The sequence below is a fragment of the Homo sapiens genome, chromosome 9 (genome assembly GCF_000001405.40).
Source record: "Homo sapiens chromosome 9, GRCh38.p14 Primary Assembly".
Taxonomy (NCBI): Eukaryota; Metazoa; Chordata; class Mammalia; order Primates; family Hominidae; genus Homo; species Homo sapiens.
In genome coordinates, this window is record NC_000009.12 from 73089756 (window position 1) to 73114481 (window position 24726).

The 24726-nt window shown below is 35.5% G+C and overlaps 1 long non-coding RNA gene across 3 annotated transcripts, besides 1 other annotated feature; it reads right to left on the bottom strand.

Annotated features, from left to right (window-relative positions):
- Nucleotides 1-616: 616 nt before the first annotated feature.
- LOC105376081 (uncharacterized) lies at nt 617-24150 on the bottom strand. 3 transcript variants are annotated; one of them, XR_929927.2, is made up of 4 exons: nt 23842-23880; nt 22484-22674; nt 22039-22151; nt 617-2242 (listed from the first exon to the last, which is right to left on the bottom strand). It is a non-coding gene; the product is annotated as an uncharacterized LOC105376081 (long non-coding RNA). The 3 variants fall into 3 exon arrangements; XR_929926.2 differs by having other exon boundaries at nt 22484-22746; nt 23842-23871; XR_929928.2 differs by lacking the exons at nt 22484-22674; nt 23842-23880 and adding an exon at nt 24049-24150.
- Nucleotides 5224-5424: a silencer, noted in NCBI's record as "peak7266 fragment used in MPRA reporter construct". NCBI's record gives its function as "represses an SCP1 promoter by STARR-seq MPRAs in K562 erythroleukemia cells {active_cell/tissue: K562}" and the evidence as "EXISTENCE:reporter gene assay evidence [ECO:0000049][PMID:32103011]".
- Nucleotides 24151-24726: the final 576 nt, after the last annotated feature.

A 24726-nucleotide genomic window follows, 5' to 3' on the forward strand; every position in this document is an offset into this window, starting at 1 on the left:
GTGTCCTGTGAGTGCCATGTGGCAAGGAGCCGTGAGCACCCTCTAGTAGTTGAACTCAGTCCCTAGGTGATAGCCAGCAAGAAAATGGAGAATGACGTCCTCCAACCACAAGGAACTAATTTCTGTCAACAGCCACATAAACTTGGAAGGGCATCCCAAGCTCTAGAAAGGTATGCAGGCTGGCAAACACCTTAAGCTTTATTAGATCCTGAGAAGAAACCCAAGCTAAGTTGTACCTAGACTCACAGAAACTGAGATGTTAAATATGTGTTGCTTTAAGCCATTAAATTTGTGGTAATTTATTATGGAGCAATAAAAAATTAATGTACCTTGTATTTCATTCAATTAGAAAAAGCGAAAGCTATGTTGAGCTAGCCTAGGCTCAGTATTTTATTACTGAGATAGCATATGTCTGAGAGTATTTATATACATGTATATACACATACAAACACATACACACATATATATATAAAGCATTGAATAATTTTTTTATGTAAGTTCAATTAAGTTTGCATGTAAGTTGGATAAGAGTTGAAACATTGGCTTTTTCTTAAAAATAAACAAACAAACAAACAAACAAACAAACACCTGCACTTTAGGAGCTTAAAGCCGTGACTGGAAGTTAAAAACAAGTTTATTATATGACTCAGCAATCTAAGTATTTATCAAGAGAATAAAAACATGTTCATACAAAGATGTATTCACAAATATTCATAACACCTTGTTCGTAATACCTTAAAATTGGAAACAGTTAAAATATCTTAAAAACAGATGAATAGAGAACTTCATAGGATGGGAGTACTCAGCAATAGAGAGAAATGAGCTTCTGAAATGCGAAACTATGGATTAATTTCAGAAATATTATACTTGGCAAGAGAAAAATTTAAAAAGGCCATATATAAAATAACACCACCCGAATAATTTTATTTCTGTGAAATTCTAGAATATAGAATAGACTAACATACAACAATGTAAATCAATGATTGCTTGGAGCAGAGGGTGGGGGTGAAAAGTATTTTAGAGGGATGAAATGTGTTGTATCTTGATTATGCTGGTAGTTACACAAGTGTATACACCTATCAAAATTCATTGAACTACACACTAAAAATGAGTTTATTTTAGTGAATGTAACATATACCTCAAAAAAGCTGATTAACAAAAACAGTAGCTGGTATATAGTGAAACATAAAATAAATACTTGTAAATGAGCAAAACTTGACAAAGTCAATTTTATTATTTAAATAATTTGATAAAGTATTTTAACAAATGTATTTTTCATAGTAGCCCATGTGGATCTATATATAAATAGAAAGCCACAGAATATACATTATTAATTTGAAAATGTAAAATGAATGTCCTAAATTATTTATCTCACCTATCTTCGACAGTGGGTTATCTGCAAGAGTTAATTTGGCATGTTTTCCATTTTTAATGTAACCTAGTGTTATTTTTTTCCACATCTTGATGATCCTAATGAACTTTGGTCATCATAGGCTTGCTGAAAAGATTTATCACAAAATGATTAACAACACAGTTTAGAGAGTCATGAAGACATGAGGAATCATAATGGTTACATTTTGATACTGGAGTTAATGTATTCTGAGTTACAGGGAAAATAATGACTTAAGTAAACTGGCTTGAAAAATTTTTGGTCCAATTATTCCTTAGGAAATAAGACTTTCGTGTCTTTAGATGTATAAGGATAAAGTGATTCTTTAAGTAGTCATGAATTTAAGTTGCCAGATTCTTAAAAGTAAGATCACAACATTAAGAAAGTTAAAATATTTATATAGAATTGTAAATTCTATATAAATATATTAGGATATCTTACAGGAAATTTGGCAATGCATATCAAAAGGCAGAGGAATATAATTCAGACCTCAAACTATTATTATTCTCTTTGTTTTGCTTTCAGATATTACATTAGATTGTCTTCTTCTTTATGCAAATCTGCAATAAAGTAGGATCAGTTAAAAGCTGTAATTCTACATTGAAAGCAGTAATTTTATTAACTAGCAAATGATTAAAAAATAAATCCAAGATTGTATTTCTATCAGTTCATAGCTCTTCAAAGATCTTTCAAGATCCTCTGGCACATCCTTAAAGAATGCTGCATGGGAAAAAGTGCCTGTGTATAATTATCCACTTTATTGTGCCCAAACCTCTCAGCATCATTTGTTTTTGTCAGCAGGTGACGGATTCTTCGCTGTGCAGCTGGAATATCACAGTATATAATATGGACCTGATAAAAAATGAAGATTAGATAATTTTATTGACAGAAACTTTAAACTCTGCACTTGCCACTATTTAACTGTTCTATTCCACCATTAGAGGTTTTTGGACAAAGGTTAATTGCTCAATAGGCTGGGAAGTTATGAGAAGGATCTGAGAATCAGGGGCCATTGGATTAGATGCCATTTAAAGTTCACTGTGGCTGGAGATTCTATGATTCTGGAGATTCTGATTTCAGAATGCATTTTTATTCTTCCCCAACTCAATATGCATATAAAACTGACTAATTATGTTTTATATTTGCATAGCACTTAAACACTGGCTTATACATTGTTAAATAAATCCAAACAGGTGAGTTAAGACTGTTTGTTTAATGCTCCACCGTGGTTTACACACCTCTTGGTGCTATAGAAACAACAAGCTTTTTGTACTCATCCCATGTAACTTCAGGGAACTGCTGTGTTTTTTCTGATTCAATTTTGCATTGTTATAATACAATTTTTATTTCCATGACTTTTTGTAGCAAAATATTTACATTTTGTAAACAGTGGATGTCTTTTCTAAAATTTCATTTTTCTTTCTTGTAAGCTGTAAAAAGTTTGTCTTGTGTGCTTTAACTTCCTTGCATTTTCCCTTATTACAGAGTCAATAATTTTTGCAAATACATATAGACATATTGTTTTAATAAATAATTCAATAATTTTATTTTAAGATATGCCTATTATTGACATTTTCTAAATAAGTGCCATTTTGTCTATGGCTGTCTTCCAGGCCCCAACCATTTAAATTATTCAGGCTCCAGAATTCACTACTCCTATACTTAGGTAATTAGAGTTATAAACTTGAGAATAAACTTGACCATTAACTTGGCATTAACTCGACCAACTTCAAAAGTATTGACAGAAAAATAAAGAAAAGAGAGGGCTAAAAATGCATAAAAATTGAAATAGAATCATGACATTTAACTGTTTATTAAGTATTTATTGTTCATGGTAACAATAGGATATTCTATAAATACTTTATATGTAAAGTTGATAATAGCCATCATAATTACAGCATCTGTTTTTAACAGGCTTTCAATATTTAAGATACCAATCCATCAACACTCTCTTGTCTTTAGTATCTGAAAGATAATAGCTCCTTTAATTAAAGGTCAATGAGGAACATGCAATGCAACCAACACAAAAATCAAACCTATGATTATCTCAATGTTTTAATTAACTGCACCATAAGCATAAATTACAGTCTTGATGATGGTGAAGAACACAGAAAAAAGTCTGTATTACAATTATTTTGCCTTTGACCTTGCTATGGATCATTCCTTCCAATAAATACATTATTGTATTAACAATGCTTTCCTCCTATAAAAGATAAGAAAAACATTTATTCTTGATTAGTTTTCTTGTTATAAATTGAATTTGAATTTGTGAAGGCAAATGTGGGCTGTCTGCATATCAGTTCAATGTTTTCTTGCAATACCTGTCTACTCTGGAGAGATAGGATGAAATCAGAGGAACTGGAAATGCATGAGATGGAAAGTTCAGGAACCCTAGTTCACAGTTGAGGAACCCTAGGTCACCACTCACCAGCTGTATGACTGTGGGTGATGTCACATAAGCTCATTGCTTTTCCCTGAATAGAATAAGAGGATTGGACCACATGAGCTTCTTGCAAAGTGAGCCCCAAAGGGCTTGGTTTCCTAATGAATTTTCAAGCATTTGTCCCTTTGAGACCCCCAATTACTTTATCTAAGCATCAACAGAGCATCTCTGTCTTTTATCATTATTTTTGTTTCAATATGTTTTATATTCGGGGTTTTAGGGATAAGATTTTCTTAGGAGAAAGAAGCCTCTAATTTATAAAAAGGTTTTGAAAACCACTGGTCTGAGTTAGCAGCAGCACTCTTTCTAGTTCACCAGTTCTCTGTTTTGGTTTATTCTGATTTGGTGAGCCATTTGCCCCAGCACACTCGACCAGGAAATTAAAAAAAAAAAAAAATGGATAAAACACCTTCCCTCTCGTGTCCTTAATCACCGAAGTTTCATTTGGAAAATGTCACCAATATTTTCTGTGCTAACTAAAATTTGCAGCAGTGGATTGTTTCTTGAGGACCATTCAATCTCCTAGGTTTACTTTCACTTTGTAAGATCTCTTTAATAGCTCTTTCTTATTTGGGCAAGGCCTATTTCATTTCTTCCAGTGTGACAAAGGACCTTGCTATGTGTTGTTCTAACAGGATATTCTTCCTTTCCTCCACTGGGCTAATAGCCTGGAGAAAAAGAATACAAGTTTAATTTTAATTTCTGGATAATAATGATTTTGTCTTTTAATCTATGAAGTAGAGCAAACAGTATTATCCTATCATATGATAAAAAGCACCAATACAACGGACTTATGAAAAGCTAAGTATGTAAAAATATCAAATACTTAAATTCTGACACGTGTTTTAAAATATATGTATATTTTTAAACTGCTCCAGAAATGTTGGGGTAAATAGTTTGAAACTTTGAATTGAACAGTTTGTTTCTGTTGTCTTTTAATTTTTTCAAGTAACTGAGTGCTTATTTGAGGGAAGGAGAAAACCTTTAAGAGTTACTTTACAAAACCCAATACATGCTTTTAAAGGGTAATTTCTACCTGTACTCTAAATAAGCGATAAGCAAAATGAGGTAAATAACAAAATGAACATTTTATTAACTAAAATGTCCCTAGGGAATAGTCAACATTAACTTAATAAATAATTGTGGAATGAATAGATGGGTAAGCATCTGCTTTAGTCTGTTTTGTGCTGCGATAACAGAATACCTGAGAGTGGGTACTTTATAATGAAGAGAAATTTATTTTCTCATAGTTCTGAAGGCTGACAAGTTCAAGATTGAGGGGCTGGCATCTGGAGAGAGCCTTCTTGCTTCATCATTCCATGGCAGAAGGCAAGGGGGCAAAAGAGAGAGTCCAACTCCTGACAACACTTTCATTAAGGCATTAAACCTACCTATTGGGCTGGAACCCTCATGGCCTAGTGACTTCTTACAAGCCACACCCCTTAGTACTGTTACAATGGCAATCAAATCTCAACATGAATTTTAGAGGGGAAAAACATTCAAACCACAGCATTCTGTGCTTGGCACCCCAAAACTCATGTCCTTCTCACATACAAGATAGATTCATTTCATCCCTAAAAGTCTTAACTCGTTCCAGCACCAACTCGTAAGTTCAAAGTCCAGAGTCTCATCTAAATGAGATATGCGTGAGACTCAAGGCATAATTTATCCTGAAGCAAATCCCCTTCAGCTGTGAGCCTGTAAATTAAATATGTTATATGCTTCTAAAATACAGCGGTGGGATGGGCATAGGATAGACATTCTCATAGGCAAGAAGGAAGAAGTAACAAACAGATCCCAAGTAAGTCTAAAACCAAACAGGACAAACAACATGAAACATGTTGTTTGATAGTGTTAAGGCTCCAGAATAACCTTTCTTGACTCTGTGTCTCACCTCCCCGACACACTGTGGTAGAGACTGAGCCTTTGAGGTCCTGGGGAGCCCCACTCCCGTAGCTTTGCTGACTACAGCCCACGTAACTGCTTTTGCATATTGGAGTAGAATGCCTGTAGCTTTCCCAGGTTGGCTTTGCACTCCGCTATGGTAGCTCCATTGTTCTGGGATTTGGAGCTGGCTCCACTTGGCACTGCCTCAGTGGAGACTCTTTGGAATGACTCCACTACTGCTGCAGTTTTTTGTCTGGGCCTCCAGTCTATTTAGTAGGTACTTTAAAATCTAGTTGGAGGCAGCCATGCTTCTACAGCTCTTGTACTATGCACCTGAAAATTAGCACGAGGTGGATGCTGCCAAGATTTACAGCTTATACATTCTGGAGTAGCAGGTGAAGCCACATCTGGGTCTACTTGAGCCATAACTGGAGTGGTCAAGGCAGCAAGGCCTGATGCCCCATCAGCCCCCCATGACTGTCCCCTGAAGCCATTCTACCTCAAGACTCTAGAACTCAGCTTGAGATAGGAAGGACAGCCTCAAAGATCTTTGAAATGACTTCAGAATCTTTCTCCCATTATCTTGATATATAGCACCATGCTTTCTTCTGTTCATACTAATCTCATCAAAGAGTTGCTTGGACATACCCTTTGTATTCTCTCCCAAACATATTTTTATTCTTTACATGGCCAGGCTGGGGATGCTCCATTTTTTTTTATATCTGATACCTTTTCATTTATTTATTTATTTATTTATTTATTTATTTATTTATTTGAGACAGGGTCTCACTTGAGTGCAGTGGCATGAATATGGCTTACTGCAGCCTAGACCACCTGGGCTCAAGCAATTCTCCCATCTCAGCCTCCTGAGTAGCTGGGACCACAGGTGTACACCATCACACCTGGATAATTTTTGTTGCATTTTGTTTTGTTTTTGAGTAGAGACAGGATTTTGCCATGTTGCCCAGGCTGCTGTTGAACTCATGGGCTCAAGCAATTCTTCTGCCTCAGCCTCCCAAAGTGCTGGCAGTACAGCCATGAGCCACTGCACCCAGCCTGCTTCCTTTTTAATTACGAATTCTATCTTTCAATAATTTCTCTCTTATTGAGTTTTGCTATATGCTATTGGAAGAAATCATGCAGCTCCATCAGTGCTTTGCTACGGATAGATTTCTTCAGCCAGATATCCTAGTACATGGCTCATAAATTCTGCCACTCAAACAGGGACATAATTCAGCCAAGTTCTTTGCCACTTTATAATAAGGATATCATTTCTCCAGTTCCCAATACCTTGTTCCTCATTTCCATCTGAGACCTCATCAGAATTACCTTTACTGTCTATATTTCTATCAACACTCTGGTCACGATCACTTAAGTAGAGTTGTCCCTCAGTATCTATAAGGAATTGGTTCCAAGACCCCCAATTGATACCAAAATCCATGACTGCTCAAGTTCCTTATGTAAAATGTCATAGTATTTGCATATAATCTATGCACATCCTTTCATATGTATACTTTAAATCATCTCTAGATTACTTACACTACCTAATACAAAGCTTACACATTACTTCAACAGTACAGTATTCAACATTGTACTTGGCACACTGCAAATTCAAATTTTGTGTTTTGGAACATTGTGAATTTTTTCCTAAATATTTTTTATCCATGTTTTGTTGAATCCACAGATGTGGGATTCATGGACATGGAAGGGCAACTATAATCTCTAAGAAGTTTCCGCCTTTCTCTACAGTTATCTTTTTCTGAGCACTCACAAGAATTGCCCTTAACTCTTTATTTACATCAATCAAGGCTTTTTCTAGCCTGCTCCTCCAAATTCTTCCAGCCTTTACCCTTTACTCAGTTCAAAGCCGCTTCTACATTTTAGGTATTGATTATGGCAACAGCCCCACATCTGGGCACCAATTTTTTGTCTTAGCCCGTTTTGTGCTACTGTAATAGAATACCTGAGACTGGGTAATTTATACTAAACATAAATTTATTTTCTTACAGTTCTGGAGGCTGTGAAGTCCAAGCTTGAGGGGTTGGCCCCTGGCAAGGGCCTTCTTACTTTACCACAATGCCATGATCGAAGGTGGAAGTGTGGCAGGCCAGTTCTCCCTGACAATCACACAGACAGGCCTGCCTAGCACCCCAGTTAGATAGACAGATTTCCACAGCACTGCCTTAACACTGAGCGGATAGTTAAACCTAAGGAAATCGTGCCCAGACATCAAAGCTAGAAATGAAAAATATGGTCAGTAGGAGGTTTGCATGGGCTTTTCCCTTGCTGGAGCAAGGGAGAATGATAGAGACACCCTTACATCCCTAGTGCCAGGACCCGTCTCTGGTTGATGAAATCTGAGATGAGTCAAGGTAACGGAGGCAGCTGTTTGAATAGATTTATTGGAGAGTCTAAGGCAGCTCTCTGAACCAAGCTGTAAAGGAGATAGGCTAGAAATAATCACTCCAGTACCACAGTAGACAGGGCTTGAAGGTACTGGGAACCTTACAGCTTAATCAAACTTAGCAAGCACTTTTTTGCCTCTGACCTTCTAGCTGAAACAAAATTCGTTACAATAGACTTCGGTGAATGCTTCACATTGGCACATGACCCCAGCCTAGATAAGCACTAAGAAAATTGTTACACTTCGAGTTGGTCTGGTGGAATTATCGCTGACCTACTCCCTGAGTCTGGTTATAGCAGTAAATTCCCTTCTTTCCTAGTTTGTCTGCTTCTCCTTATTGGGCCCTGAGAAAATGCAGCCGGACCTGGCTAGGTTCCGGAAACAGAAGAGCAAGAAAGAGAGCTTACTCACCAAAACCCATTTTATTAAGGCTTTAAACTCGCCCATGAGGATTGAGCTCTCAAGGCCTAATCACCTCTGCAAGGCTCCACCTCTTAACACTATTACAATGGCAGTTAAATACCAACATGAGTTTTGGAGGGCACAAATATTTAAGCCATAGCAATAGCTATTACTTCAGATTTTGAAGATGGCTTTGAAGATTTTGCATTTTCAATCATAATTTTAAGAAACATTTTCACTGTATATTTTCCCTAGATCTTGACTTTCCAAAAGTGTCATAAGAACAAAATGTGTTCCATGTCTACCATTCATCTGCCTTCTGAAATAAAATTATTCTCCCAGAAAGAACACAAAATTAATTATTTTAATTAATGGTCTAAATGTTAGAGGAATATCACTATATCACTGTAAGTTTTAGTTGCCTAGATTGATAATAAGTTTTACATTAATAACATTTTCAACAATTAATGTTACAGTCAATGGGAGTCATATTTTTATATTTCTTTAAGTCAAAATCCACAGTTGATATTTTGTTATAGTGAGTTCAAGTGATTTTTAGCTAACTGTTCTCATGTTTAATTTGCTATGCTGCTATGAAATATCAGTGTTCTAAAGAACTGTGGAACTAGAATATGGGGTAGAGAAGATAAAATAGTTAAATTAAAATCCATATTTATAATTACATACTTTAATTTTGTCATAAAATTAATTCTCTTTCAAGATTTGCAAAGTCAAATGTTCTGTGTTCTCAATATTTTCATGGATTACTTAAGCTTTGAGAAACCTAGCTTACTGATTTATGAATTTGCAAGTTATCTTGAAATATTTCCTGTGGAATCTGTGGTAATTTATTAGCTGCTTTAGAGTTTAAAAGCAGAGAAATATTTAATTCATTTTAAGATGCATTTGTGGGACAAATACTATCAGAAATAATGTGATTACTTTCACAATACTTTTACCTTTTTTAAAGTTCTTTTTATGTTTTCTCTTGTATCAGAGACAAGTATTTACACTCAGCTTATGTTGCCAAGATAGGGAACATTCTTCATACTATCTACTCATTCATTCACTACATTAGGTGTTGGAAACAGAACAGTTGAGGTTCTAACTAGGACACTGTTTACAGACAGGAATCTTGTAAGCAAGAAAGTAAATCTGAGAAGGTCATGATAGTAAGAGTATAGTAAATATTTGTTACATTGAAGTGAATTTAAAAATTTATAACAAGAACATTAATGACAATTTGTAAACGACAACTAATGATTACATTTCACCACTGAAAATCAAGATACTAGTAATTAAGATCAATTATAATACTTATCATTGAAGGGGAAAAAGCACTGATGAAGAAGAAAATGCAACTGAAATGTCCTCCCACTTTTTCATGACTCTCAAAGGATAGCAACATTTCAAAGTAGCTAGAAAAGAGGACTGGAAATGTTACCAACACATAGAAACAATAAATACTCAAAGTGATGGATACCCCAACTACCCTGACTCAATCATTACACATTCTATACACGTAAAAATTCTCACATGTACCCCATGAGCATGTAAAATATTATGTGCCAATAAAAGAAAAAAATAGAACAAGATTTAAAAATGATAATCTTGATTAAAATGGTTACTGCCTCTGGCTTGCTCGGCTCCATCATTCTGATTTCCTCTAGTTCAACTGGGAGTAAAAATAATTGTGTGTGTTTTTTTTCCCCTTAGGTCAAATGCATTGTTCTGTAAAAAGTGGGTTATTTATTGACTTTTAATCCCAAGATGTGTTTAAGATATATGCTTCTTACATATTTTTACCAACTTTTTTCTAAAAGAAAAAAAGAAAACTCAGGGAAAATATATCTCATGTGAAGTTAAATATGGAAAACGTTTTATCTTACCTTAAAAGTAATTAATAACCTGTGATTATGAGCCCAATGGGGGCATTATGGCTGAGCCAATGAGTGTGTCTTGTGCATCTACTGTGCGTCTGACTCTAACCTAGAGGCTGCTGAGTAAAAAGTGTGGTTGTAGGAAACTGAATCCTAATCTCCTAAGAAAGTGTGTGTGTGTGTGTGTGTGTGCGCGCGCGCGCGCGTGCATAGGTGTGGATGCAGGTCTGGATGGAGTAGGAGAGGTGGTTAGGTATTGACTCAACCCATGATAAAGAGGTGACTCAGGCAAGAGCAGTTTCTCATACTCAGGGAAAGAACATTCCGGGAGCTAAGTGGGAAGCAGAAATCCAGTAAGAAAGAAGGAGGTGATTAGAGCTCATGAATGGAATTGGGCCAACTCCGTGTGTCATTGCTTCAGGATTGGCTCTTTCACAGGTAAAAGCAAATGTGGAGTACCTGGACATGGAGCTGGAGTGAGTGTCAAGTAGAGGAGCAATAAACAGTGAGTCACATATGGACAGGAATAGCCACATGTTGTCTATTAATTTGGATTTTGCTTTCCACGGTCAGTTATGCCTGCTATGACATGGTATGAAATGGGGATCAGCCATTCAAAGAATCCAAAATAGCAGATAACTTACTTATAAGTGCCTGCATGGAAAAGGGATGGCTAGGGAACCATATCTGCAAAGTAACATGCTTGTTTCTTCACACACACACACATACACACACACATTTTAAGATACTTTTCCATTGTATTCTTTCCCTAGATCTTGGCTAGCCACAAGTATCATGAAAACATTATATATACATACGCACACACACACAACACATATATATATACACATATAAATATATATGTAAAATTATTTCAGGTTCTGAGGGCTTTCAAAATACTACTCAAAGTTTTTATGAAGTTAATGATGGTTTTATTTCATTTGCTACATTATTCCTCTGCTGTTCACCCTAAAATTAGGTCTGGTTATTACCACTCAAGATCATGTTTTATCTTAATTATAATCATTGATTCAATAAAACTTTAAATTGCAATATACATGTCAGGCCATTTTCTACAAAAGTCAGAGGGAATAGTCTCCTCTTTCAATGATACAGCATCTATAGTTTTGAATATTCTCAAGCTAAGGCACAATATGAATCTAGTGAGTTACTTATCTAGAAAATGTGCTTTATCTAAAAGTCAGAATCTATATCTCAACATGACATTGTGAAGTGCTTCTTAAATCTTCATGAGTCAAAAAAAAAAAAGACCCATAAAAGAAAATGGCAAATATGCATTTTGGTATCTATGAAATAAATGTCTTCAAATATATTCCTTCTGGATGTCAATCAACATGGTCGTTTCAGTTTGTTAATGGACTGCCTTGTGCATCAGAAACTCAAATATCCGAAGGATATTTACTTGAAGGTAACCAGATTAATGTTATTAAGAGTTATTTTAGTTATTCTAAAGCCATGAGAAAAGATTACATTTGTAAGCTTGTTTTTATTCTCTTGTTCTGTTTCTACATCCAAATCCCAGGACATCATCTTCCCTGGGGATACTGTTGCATTTGGATGGCTATGTGCAAGTTTTAAATTTTCCTGGACTTTTTCCAGCTCCACCATAATTTCTTTCAGTTCTTGGGCAGCTGATATAAGAGGAAGAATCGGGAAGAAACTTATAAGAAATTTTCATTAAAAAAGCATTGTTAATATTTCATGAATAAAAAATTATAGAATTTAGTTTACAAACAGCATTGATCCAATGTGTATTTATTAATTTGCTTATACATCGTTCCACTCTCATTCATTCAATATTTATTGAATATTTACTACACGATGAACACTTAGTTTAGAATAAAAAATGCAGTGATGAACAAAAGACTCAGTGTGTCTGATAAAGTTTATATTCTAGTGAAAAAGGATAGAAGCAAATGACTGAACACATATGTTAAAAAATTGAAAGATTGTAATAAATATTAGCAAAGATGTAAATAGAGTACTGTGCGTATACATTACTGGGGAGATCTGATTAGGTAAGGTTGGTTAGAGGAGTTTTCTCAGTGGGAACAACTTTTGAAGTGAATCTTGAAGAATGAATAGAAGTTGACCATGCTGAAAATGAGAAGGTGAGTGTGAGAGAGAATGCTTCAGATGAGAGAACAGAAAGCTAAAAGGCCCTGATGGAAGAAATACGTTGATAATATCTTGCAACTTATGAGCTAGTGTGACAAGATCTCAGTGAGTAAAAGAGAGAGGCTCAGGCAGTATGACAGGGCCTGGATCAGGCAACTTAGTGCCTTGTAGGAAATAATAAAGAGTATGGGTTTTACTTGCAGTCCATTGAAAGCCATTGGAGGGGTTTAGGCAGAGTTAAAGCAGATCTCTGTGACTGCTGAGTGATGAATAAATTGGTTGTGCCAAGACAGGAGCGGGGAGACCATTCAGAAGTGGTTGTAGTTTACCAGGCAGCAACTACAGATGTTGGTGACTCAGGTCAGAGTAGGGGATGTAGAGATGGATGGATTTAAGATATATTTTTGACAATTAAACTTACACTTTTAAAATTCCAAATAAAAGAAGAATCAAGAATGAATGACTGTAAAATATTTGGGCTTAGTAAATACGTAATATCCATACTCTAATTTTTAGATGGATAAATTAAATTTTACCTCATAACAATAAAAAGGTACTCATATTTGAAGGACTAATTATTTTTCTGATTAATCTTCCCACAGTGATATATTATGACATAGTTCCCTACATTTAGAGTTCCTGGAACTATACAAGGAAAAACATAAGGAAGCAAAGCATATGAGAGTCACACCTACTATTACTATTTACTGGCCATCTATTGCATTTGTAACTTGTCATGCCCCTTCTTCTCAGGATCTTTTGTTAAGTTACTTTATTATATATGATTTACATGCCCCCCAAAACTGCAAGCTTTTAAAGTATACAATTCAACTAATTTTAATAGACCAATATATCCATAAAACCACCACCACACACAATGTATGAATTATTTTAATTAACCCCAAGTTTCTTGTGCTTCTTTGCACATTAAGATCCCACAAGAAAATGTTGTATGTATATAGTCACATGTATTTTTTTTAAATTCAGAGAAAAAATAATATTTTAAATTTACCCAGATATTTATCATTTATAATGATTTTTTCTTTCTTCCTTAATATATGAATTTTTCTCTACTACCTACTTTTTCTTCATCCTCAGAACTTTCTTTCAGCATCTCTCCTGGTGCATGTACAAGGACAATACATTCTCTTAGTTTTCTGATATCTGAAACATGTACTATTTTGCCTTCACTTATGAGGGATTTTTTGCTGGACATGGAATTCTGGGTTGTCAATTATTTTTTCTTTCAGTACTTAATTTTCCCACCTTTCCAATTTATAAATATTTTTAAAGATTTTCCATGAACTTGAATTGTGTTCCCTTCTGTGTGATGTATTGTTGTTCTTTGTTCCGCTTACTTTCATGATTTTCTCTTTATCTCTGGATTTCAACCATCTGATGAGGATGAGCTTAGGTGTGACTTTCTTCATATTTCTTCTGATAGGTGGTGCCAACCTTCTTGAACCTGTGAAACACTGACTTTCACGAAACTTGAGAAGTTTATCCATTATTTCTTCACATTTTTTCCTACCACTTCTCTCTGCCTTTTTCTTCTGAGAGTCTGATTATAAATATTAGAAATTTTCATATACTTTTACAAGATTTCTGAGGCTCAGTTCTTTCTTTTTAAATTATGTTTTCTCTTTTTAAAAATTGTCTAATTTATATTAATCCATATTAATTTTACTAACTCTTCTTTATATGATTTCCATTCTGCTATTAAGCCTATTTAAAAAAATTAGATATTGGGTTTTTTAGTTATATAATTTCTACCTGGTTATTTTTCATATATTCTGTTTCTGGGGTATGATTTTTCTCTTTTCTTTTATTATAAGCAGTTAAAAGAAAGAAATCCTTAAGCATAGTTATATCAGCTGTTTAAAAATCCTTATCTGATAATTTCAACATCCAGCTCATCTCAGGATTGGTCTTTGTTGACTGTATTTCCCCTTGAGACTGACTTTTCTGGTTCTTTACATCATATTCTGTTCAGTGTGATTATTGTGTCTTTGATACCTAGAGTTGTTATATATCTTTGGTGAATTTTGATTTCTTTTGTGATTTAGTAGGCAATTAATTTGATTAATTTGATTAGCTGCAACAAGTTGCAGCTCAAAACTCCATTCACCTCTCTAAGTTATGTCCTACTCCCCAGAACACGTGAATATGTCAGGTTACACGGCAAAGGGGAACTAAAGTTGCAAACAGTATTAAGGTTGCTAATCAGCTGACCTTAAATCAGAGATTAGCCTGGATCATGTGGGCAGGCCTAAGGTAATCACAAGAAACCTTAAAACTGGAAGAAGCAGTCAGAAAGGGCGATGTGACAATGGGGCAATGTTGGAGACCTGCTATGCTGCTGGCTTCAAAGATAAAGGGAGAGGGTCACAACCAGCAAATCTGGGCAGTGTTTGAGGCCGGAAAGGCAAGGTGATGGATTCTTCCTGACAGCCTCCAGAAAAGAATTCCATACTGCTGACACCCAGATTTTAACCTAGTGATGGTTATTTTGAATTTGTTACCCACAGAACTCTAAGATGATACATTTGTGTTGTTTTAAGCCACTAAATGTGTGGTAATTTGTTAGAGTTGCAATGAAAAAAATACAAATTTTCCGTCCCCAAAATTTGAAAACCAACTCCAGAGAAAAATAACATTGCTGTTTAGTCAAGTGAATGGTTGATTTTGTAATTGTGCAAGAAGTATTTTAAATTGAAATTATAATTAAGGAGTATCATTTCTCATACTGACTGGGGTAAGATTATGGAGACATAGTCGAGCCGAATTCCCCCAGGCCTAACCTTCTAATTCTTCCCTCATGGTTCTCTTGCATAGCTCCTATGTCTTAAACATGGGGCTGGCTCAGAGCGTGAAGTTTCATAAGTGAGTCCTGGCTAAGTTCTTTGTCTCTTTTTCCAGTAGCCCAAATATCAATGTTGACACCTTAAAAGGTACACAATTTTATAAATTATAGACAATTCCCTGTTTCAGACTCTTTTTTAAAATATAAATACATGATTCGAACATTTTTTTCTGCATACAAGAAAAAAAGTTGGAATAATGCATGACATTCATATTAAACATTATTCATCAGCACTGAATGAGAATTGCAAAGGCTGAGAGACAACCAGCATTTATCTATCACATATGTTCAAAACGATCATCTTTAACATCTATGTGATATCTCTCACATATGTCGAAACTTTAAAGACAGTTGCTGCAAAAGTTTTGAAATATTTCCTTTACACCACTGAGAATAAAAATATCAGAAGGAAGAGGAGAAATATATAGATAATACAGCAATAATAAAGTTTAGTATGAAAAGAGAGTTGTTTATTTTCTAGTACTGGTTATAATTATCTCTGAGGTTCTATTTAGTATTTTGTATATAATTACCTTTCTGGTAGGTTGGGTGCAAAATAATTAGTGTTTTTTTGTTTTGTTTTGAGATGGAGTTTCACTCTTGTTGCCCAGGCTGGAGTGCAATGGCACAATCTCGGCTGACTACAACCTCTTCCTCCCAGGTTCAAGCAATTCTCCTGCCTCAGCCTCCCAGGTAGCTGGGATTACAGGCACACGCCTCCACACCCAGCTAATTTTTGTATTTTTAGTAGAGATGGGGCTTTGCCATGTTGGCCAGGCTGGTCTCAAACTCCTGACCTCAGGTGATCAACCCACCTCAGTCTCCCAAAGTGCTGGGATTATAGGCATGAGCCACTGCACCCGGCCACGTAATAAATTTCAATGGCAAAACCACAATTACTTTTGCACCAACTTAATATAAGACAGTTTACATTTTAAAATTACCTTCAGTGTGCTTTGCTAGTTTTTCTTCTTCTATACTACTAAGTCATAATATGCCTCACACATTCTCTTGAGTATCTTTATTTTCTGGTCAGAATCATTCTATAGAGAGAAGAAAGGCTTAGAGCATCCTTGCAACCATATTATCTAACCATAAATCTCTGCCCCTTATAACTGAGGGACATTATGTAGGATGAAACCTCAACAAGCCCCGTATACTAGAAAAAGACAGTAACTGTCAAGGACACCTGTTTTTTAGTGTGCAGTATCTGTGAACAAGAACAGCTGGTAACCCTGGATCTCATGGGTGCTAAGTCACTTTTCAGCCTGATGTTAATAAACAATCACCTCAAACTAAATGATAACAATGGTGTTCTATGGACAGTTCTTGACTTAATAAATAAAAGCTCACAAATCTGCCTTGGAAAAGTTACCTTATGGCTTCAAAAATCTAATCTGAGTAGCTTAAAAACAGAGCTTTAACAGAAGGTAACCTTAAACACAACACCAGGGCCTGTGCAAGATCTCTACAGAGAGATTTTTCTTTGTTTTGAGAATTTTTCCTGCTCATTCAAAGCTTATGGGAATTTTTCAAATCGGGCTTTATTTAGTACTTCTCCATAATTCCCTGTAAATGAGAATGATAAATTTAGTGATAGAAACGGTTCATATTTGGAGTGACTGGAAAAGGATCAAGTTCTTAAAAAAATGGCAGTAAGTTCTTTCACATAGATGTATCTTTCACTGACTTCTATGCCATAGTACCACTGATCTTCACATTTTTCATAATGCAATATCTGATTTTCATATTTCTACCTATTAGCATTTTTGACTTATTTACAAACATCAGTAAGAAGCCAGAAATAGTCACAAATTTACTAAGGAATAGGCCAACTATTTTTATTCTAAGTAACAGTGAGAGAATCAAAACTCACATTTCTAAACTTCACTGGAGTAATGATTAAAACTCACTGTTAATTATTGTGCATGTTTTGCAAGTTGAAAACTTCAGAGACGAAGTACAAATTAATGTGAACATTTATCTCCCCCGCCTAGAATTCTACTGTTACAGAGGCAGGGATTTCACTTGATTGGTTCATTGCTGTATTCCTAGCATTTAGCATACTACTTGACTCAGAGTATGATCTAATAAATATTAGTTTAATAACTCAAGAAATTAAGAATAATCTGACAGAAACAAATAAGTCTATGAAAAAAATCAGTTGCACTTAAATTTAATGTAGATATTATTTATTCCTGAAAACCTCATGCCTTGATAAAGTAAAAATATAGTCTTGGAGCCTTGAATGCAGATTTCTGTATTTAATGTCTCCCTGGATTGCACTTCTATTCACAAGGAGAGGGTACCTTTCAAATGTATCATCTTGTCTTTCATATCCTCAGCATTTGTCAAGCCTATGTATGTGGGACAGGAATGAAAATGTGGATAGTATGTTTCTGTGTGTGCATAAACTCATGTATATGCATATGTGTGTTCTGTGCCTAGATGTTTTCTCACCTGCAGATCCACAAGATAAGCTCTGAAAGATTTTAGGAGTATGGTCAGATACACAGGGTTTCATCTATGCTCTTGGCCAGGAGAGGGAGCTGTCACCTGCTAACTACAGCATGACTCTAGGTGCAAACTCATTTTCTGTGAGGATCCATACCTCAATGGTAGCTTTTACCTAAATACAAACTATACGTTGTGTTTTCTTTATTTTTTATTTTATTATTATTATTATTATTTTTTGAGATGGAGTTTCGCTCTTGTTGCCCAGGCTGGAGTGATCTCAGCTCACTGCAACCTCTGCCTCCCAGGTTCAAACGATTCTCCTGCCTCAGCCTCCTGAGCAGCTAGGATTACAGGCACCGGCCACCACGCCCAGCTAATTTTTTGTATTTTTAGTAGAGATGGGGCTTCACCATGTTGGCCAAGCTGGTCTTGAACTCCTGACCTCAGGTGATCCGACCGTCTCAGCCTCCCAAAGCGCTGGGATTACAGGTGTGAGCCACGGCGCCTGGCCCCCAAACTATAGATTTTGATTGTCAAATACGTCAGTACGTCAATCAAACAAATGAAAACCTAATAAAGTATAACATAAGACCTATTGTGACACATATTATAACTTTTTAACATAAAACTTTTTATAATGCTAGATAATAAGTTGGGTCAATGGTAAATTATTAACACTTAAGTACTATAGCATTAATAATGGTAGAAAATGTTTATCACCGTTCACCTTCTCTTTTCTCATAAACTCCATCTGCTTGGTTATTTGTGTTTATGTTGCATTTGATGCATGTCTTGTCATTTGCAAAATACGAGTAAACCAGAAAAAAAGTAGAAGATGAAATGCTCATATGACTATATAAAAAAACTTTTGAAGATGTAACACAATGTTTTCAGGGTTCACCTCCAAAATTTTCATCTACTACATATAGGTTCTGTATTAAACATTTATTAGACATTATCTTGTATAATTCTAAAAAATTATCTTCACAATTGGTCTTATAAATCCAATTAGCAGATGAGGAAATAACTACTTAGAGAAAATAGGTGACTTTGGCCGGGTGCGGTGGCTCATGCCTGTAATCCCAGCACTTTGGGAGGCCGAGGAGGACGGATCACAAGGTCAGGAGATCGAGACCATCCTGGCTAACACGGTGAAACCCCGTCTCTACTAAAAATACAAAAAATTAGCCAGGCGTGGTGGCTGGCGCCTGTAGTCCCAGCTACTCGGGAGGCTGACGCAAGAGAATGGCGTGAACCCGGGAGGCGGAGCTTGCAGTGAGCCGATATGGCACCACTGCACTCCAGCCTGGGCGACAGAGCGAGACTCCGTCACACACACACACACACACACACACACACACACACACACGAGAAAATAGGTGACTTTGTAAGGATCATACTACTCAGTGATTAATTTGACATTTGAACTTTGATCATTTGACTCTAATTCCCATATGATTATCTCTTCTTCTAAATTACTCTTCTGATCAGCTGTTTACCAAATCTCTAGCACATGCCAAATATGAGGTCATTTCTTTTCCTCATTCCCATGGTGAGCATTTGAGAACAAAATCTTACTCGATCTCATAGCAATCACTGTATGCTAAAGGCGCTGATGTTATTCAAATAATTTATTATCATTATGTTAGGAAGTCTAAGAAGAGCTTATTGTTCTGCTCTGATCTGGTTTGGCCTGCCTTACAGCAGAATATTCTGGAAACCTGAGGTGGCCAGTGGCTTTGTCACTTCTCTGGAATATTGAGAAACCCACAGAGACTAAGAGGTTGGTTCATTAAGAACCTGACTAGGGAACAATAAACACAACCTGTCCATATATCACCACAGTGGCTTTGTTAATGATATTGATTCTACATTTACTACAATGACTAACACAATTGTAATGCCTCATGTTTGCATTTCAAGTAATAAGGAAAGAAGTCTTAAATCCAAACCTTTTACTAATCAAGATGGCTATTCATAAGTGTTATTCGAAAGCTAAGTTGGATCGTATTTGTCAGTATGTTTTCAAAACAGAAGGTGAGTTACTGAATAATTTTATTTATTTATTTATTTATTTATTTATTTATTTATTTATTTATTTATTTTGAGGCGTAGTCTGGCTCTGTCGCCCAGGCTGGAGTGCAGTGGCGCGATATTGGCTCACTGCAAGCCCCGCCTCCTGGGTTCACGCCATTCTCCTTCTTCAGCCTCCCACGTAGCTGTGACTACAGGTACCCGCCACCATGCCCGGCTAATTTTTTGTATTTTTTTAAGTAGAGACGGGGTTTCACCATGTTAGCCAGGATGGTCTTGATCTCTCCTGACCTCGTGATCCACCCGCCTCAACCTCCCAAAGTGCTGGGATTACAGGCATGAGCCACCGCGCCTGGCCTACTGAATAATTTCATTTAATTCTTGAAAATTGCATACAAAATACGTTTTAATAAGAAAATACATTTTAATAAGAAACATGAAGCAGAAGCTTAAGTCTTGTTTAAATGGGGTCATTCTTCATAAGTTTACGTACGTGTGTGTATCTATGTAATTGCCAAAGACTCATTACTTTATAGCAAACTTATCTTAAAAGTTTCTATTATCTACATTGACAGCTCTTACACTTTGATTTGTTTATAATAGGTGAATTCTCAGTCTAGCTTTAGCAAGTAATTTCAAAATTAATACTATTTTGATTTTGTTCAACAATTCTTGCTTAACCTGATGTATCTTACAAACAGGTTGTATGACCAGTTTCTTAAGGATAGTTGAATATTATATTAATATTATTGTTTGTTTAAAATAGCAAAAATACTTAATCTCTACCCCCATCCCCCCACGGCTGGATTGTTGACTTCTTCTTTGATTGGTGGTTTAATACAGAATGAGAGACTGGGAATTGAAAGAATGAAAACTTAACACTTTCAGTCCACAATGCTTTGAGTCCCCAGGTGAAGTTTGATTTCGGTAGTTCTTAAAATTCCTAAGATCCACATAGACAGTGTAGCACATTGTCTAATAGTACAGAATCCAGAGCCATATGGCTTGGGTTCAAATTCCATTTCCAACATTTACTAACTGTGGGACCTTGGGCAGGTTGCTTAAAGTCTCTGTATGCTCACCTATGAAATGGGAATAAAAACAGCACCAATTTCATAGGACTGATAAGCATAAGTAAATTAATATGAATAAGACACCTAAAAGTTGGCCTGACAAAATAAGAGCTGTATTTGGTACCTTCTGTTATTATCTAAACAGACTCAAATATTTAGATCTTTGTAAAATCCTGAGCAGCTCATATATTCATTCAGCATTTGTTCTCTGAGCCTGTGTTATATGACGGGTGGTATTCTAGATTCAAGCACTACATCCATGAACAGAACTACAATTCCTGCTTCAATTATTTCGTCATATCAATATCCTGTAACTGTAGCCTCCTCAAAATTCCAACTGATCAAAAATATTGTCTATTTCAAGATTTTTGCTTTTCAATTTTAGTAACAAATATCTAGTTACAGAAACTCATTTATTTACACCTCTAAACCCAATTCTCTTTGTCTCCTTTCATACTGTTTTTACATTTAGTGCAGTGCCTAACATATACTAAGTATATATGAAAAATATGAATAAGTAGTCAAAATGGAAAATATTCCAACCCCATTCATTATTCAATGATTTTCAGATGCATTCTTGCCTGTCAATTCTAAAATTAAAAAATTCTAAAGAGGTAACATTAATTCAGAATATATTCAAAATCTCTTGTGGAATAAATATATTCTTCACTTTTGGGGACGGTTACTAGGTTGAAAAAAAGTTGTCTATCTTTTATCCAAGTGTCACTCAACTGGTATTATAGGAATATTTGGAATACCATGAATGTGGACTGCATCCCTCAAAACAACACTATGATATATCTTTGTTATTGAGCTTGTTTTTTCATATTTACCAAATGCTTGCAAGGACATACTCTTGTTTATAGTATTTTCACAGATTTCTGGGATGAATTTTATATTATTTCTAAGATAGATGTCACTTAATTCAATAGGTAAATGTTCAAAAACTGCCTATATTCCTAAAAGATATGAATGTATTTTTGTGCATTTGTTTCTACACAAATCAGAAAAAATTAAAACAAAATACATTTGCTGGACCCATTTCTTTCATGGAGAGCATATTTACCTTGGTGATGTAAGTTGTAGCTAAAGTATATGGATCAGAGGGCTGCTTTGCTGGAAACACTTTCAGCTCGCTGGCCTCTGGTCATCTTCATTACTACTCCCAAGTTGTTTTCACTGGCCATTGTTGACATAAAGGCAGAATAAAATAAACATAAGAATAGTATTATATTTCTTGGTTTTCTGAGAAGCATGTTTTGTGAAGAGAAATATATATATATATATGAAGTTACATATATATAGTGTGTTATATGTATAATGAACATTTACATAGCTAAATTACATTAACATTTTCTATTTTAGCTTTTTTGCTTCATCTTCATCAGGATTTCTATCAGCTATTGCTCAAATAAATAATACCTACATTTGATAAAGGATGTGTTCAGGAATGAGATTGCTCTACAGTATTCCCCCCTCATCTGTAGTTTTGCTTTCACGGTTTCAGTTACCTGTAATCAACTGTGGTCCAAAAATATTAAATGGAAAAATCCGGAAGTAAACAATTCATGATTTAAGTTGCATGCTGTTCTGAGTAGCGTGATGAAATCTTGAGCTGTCCTGCACCCTCTGTCTTGCCCGTTCCCTAGTCCAGAGTATCCATACTGCAGAGCTGCAGGCACGCCCAGCCATTAGTTCTTGACTTAAGGAAAGGAAAATTGCAGGCTGAGGTTGCTAAGATCTATGGTAAGAATGAATCTTCTATCCTGGAAATCTCAAAAAAGGAAAAAAGAAATTTGTGCTAGTTTTGTTGCCACACCTCAAACTGCAAAAGTTGCAGCTACGGTGTGTAAGTACTTAGTTGAGATAGAAAACGCATTTAATTTGTGGGTGGAAGACATGCGTAGAAACATGTCCTATTGATGGCAATAGAGTTTAGTTATATCCTTGGATTCAGATATCCATGGGCATCTTGAAACATATCCCCTACAGATAAAGAGAAGCTATTGTATATTCCTTCCATGCAATCTTTCTTGTCAGGTTTTTATATCAAGGTTATACTGGCCTCATAAAATGAGTTGGAATGTATTGCTTCTTCTTCTAATCCATGGAAGAGTTTTGGAGAATTATTGCTCATTGTCTCTTCAAATACTGCCTATTGCTTATATTGTTTCTTATTGCTCTGGATCAGATATATTTTGTATATTGAGCTTTTTTTCCATTTGCCATCCTCTCATAAGCATATTTACTTCTTAATACATTCTTTATACATTTTAATGACCTCAAAGTTTTTTCTGTTATATATAATGCTTCAATAAGGAGATACATATAATTAATTTTTCATGCTTTTTCACTATTCTCTTAGGATACATTCAAAAGGTTGAGAAGAAAAAATAATGGTTAAATACAAAGGCTTTGAAGTATTAAAACCTGATATCCTTTCCTAGTGCTACACCATTCAATCAGTTTGATTTTAATCAAATGATTACCCCTCTCAGGACACATTTTCTTCATTTGTAAATTGTTGAAGGTAATACCTACCGCTTAGGGGGTTTGTGACTTAATGGGCTGATGTAAAATTAATATATCACCAGATATTTATTAAGCCACCCAATACAAAGTAGCTACAATTATTATCCTCCTCATCATTATGGAAAAAAAGTTTATTTTGTTTGCTTAATATAACAGATATAAACATACCTCTTTGTATCAGATTTATTCTTATTCTTAACACTTTTACATAACATCAATTCCTACCACCTCCAGGTTTTATCAATATAGCACAAAAACTATTTTTTGAATACTTATTGTTATGATAAGCAAATAGAAACACATTCTTTTTTAAAATTTTTTTAGAGACAAGTCTTACTCTGTTGCCCAGGCTGAAGCACAATGGTACAATCGCAGCTCACTGCAGCTTCATGTTCCTGGGCTCAAGTGATCTTCCTGCCTTAGCCTCCTGAGTAGCTGGGACAATGGCGAGCCACCATGCCCAGCTAATTTTTTTTTTGTATTTTTTTTTGTAGAGGCAGGGGTCTCCCTATATTCCCCAGGCTGGTCTTGAACTCCTCCTGACCTCAAGCAATCTTCTTGCCTTGGCCTCCCAAAATGTTGGGATCACAAGTATAATCCACCATGGCTTGCCTGAAACACATTCTTCAATGTTCTGTAATTAGTTAGTGGAATAGACTATTTGTATGTTATTTATCTTGGTATGGGTTGCCTTTTATCAAACTTGTTCTACCAGTTAATAAAAACATTTGCATGTTATATAATAAAATACCTTTGTCCACAGTGGTATTATTTTCTTTGTATCTAATGAGCCAACTGAAAAAACTAAGTTTTCTGTTGATGCCAAATCTATTCATCCAGGGCACTCCCAGCTCTGCAACTTCAAAAGGGATAGGTAAACTTGGGTGAAAAACATTCATGGGAATGTATTTTGAAGAGATCAAGGTGTAACCTCAAACCAACATTAAACTGAAGGAAGAACTCTGTGGTAAGAAGTCCCACAGAGTAAGGAAGATAAAAATACTGCTTTAATTACTACTTCCTCACTATGGCCCAGAATTTTAATCTCTCAGATGAATGCTGTTCATTATTGAACAGGTGCAGATTGGAGAAACTCTGCCAGAACAGTGCATAGAAAAAAGGCAATACTGCATTGCCTTATTTTAAACATGCCTGAAGGTGCATTTAGTTAGTAGACAGCATAGGTTATGTTGACTTTACTCTGTTTTGTTGGAAACCTCTC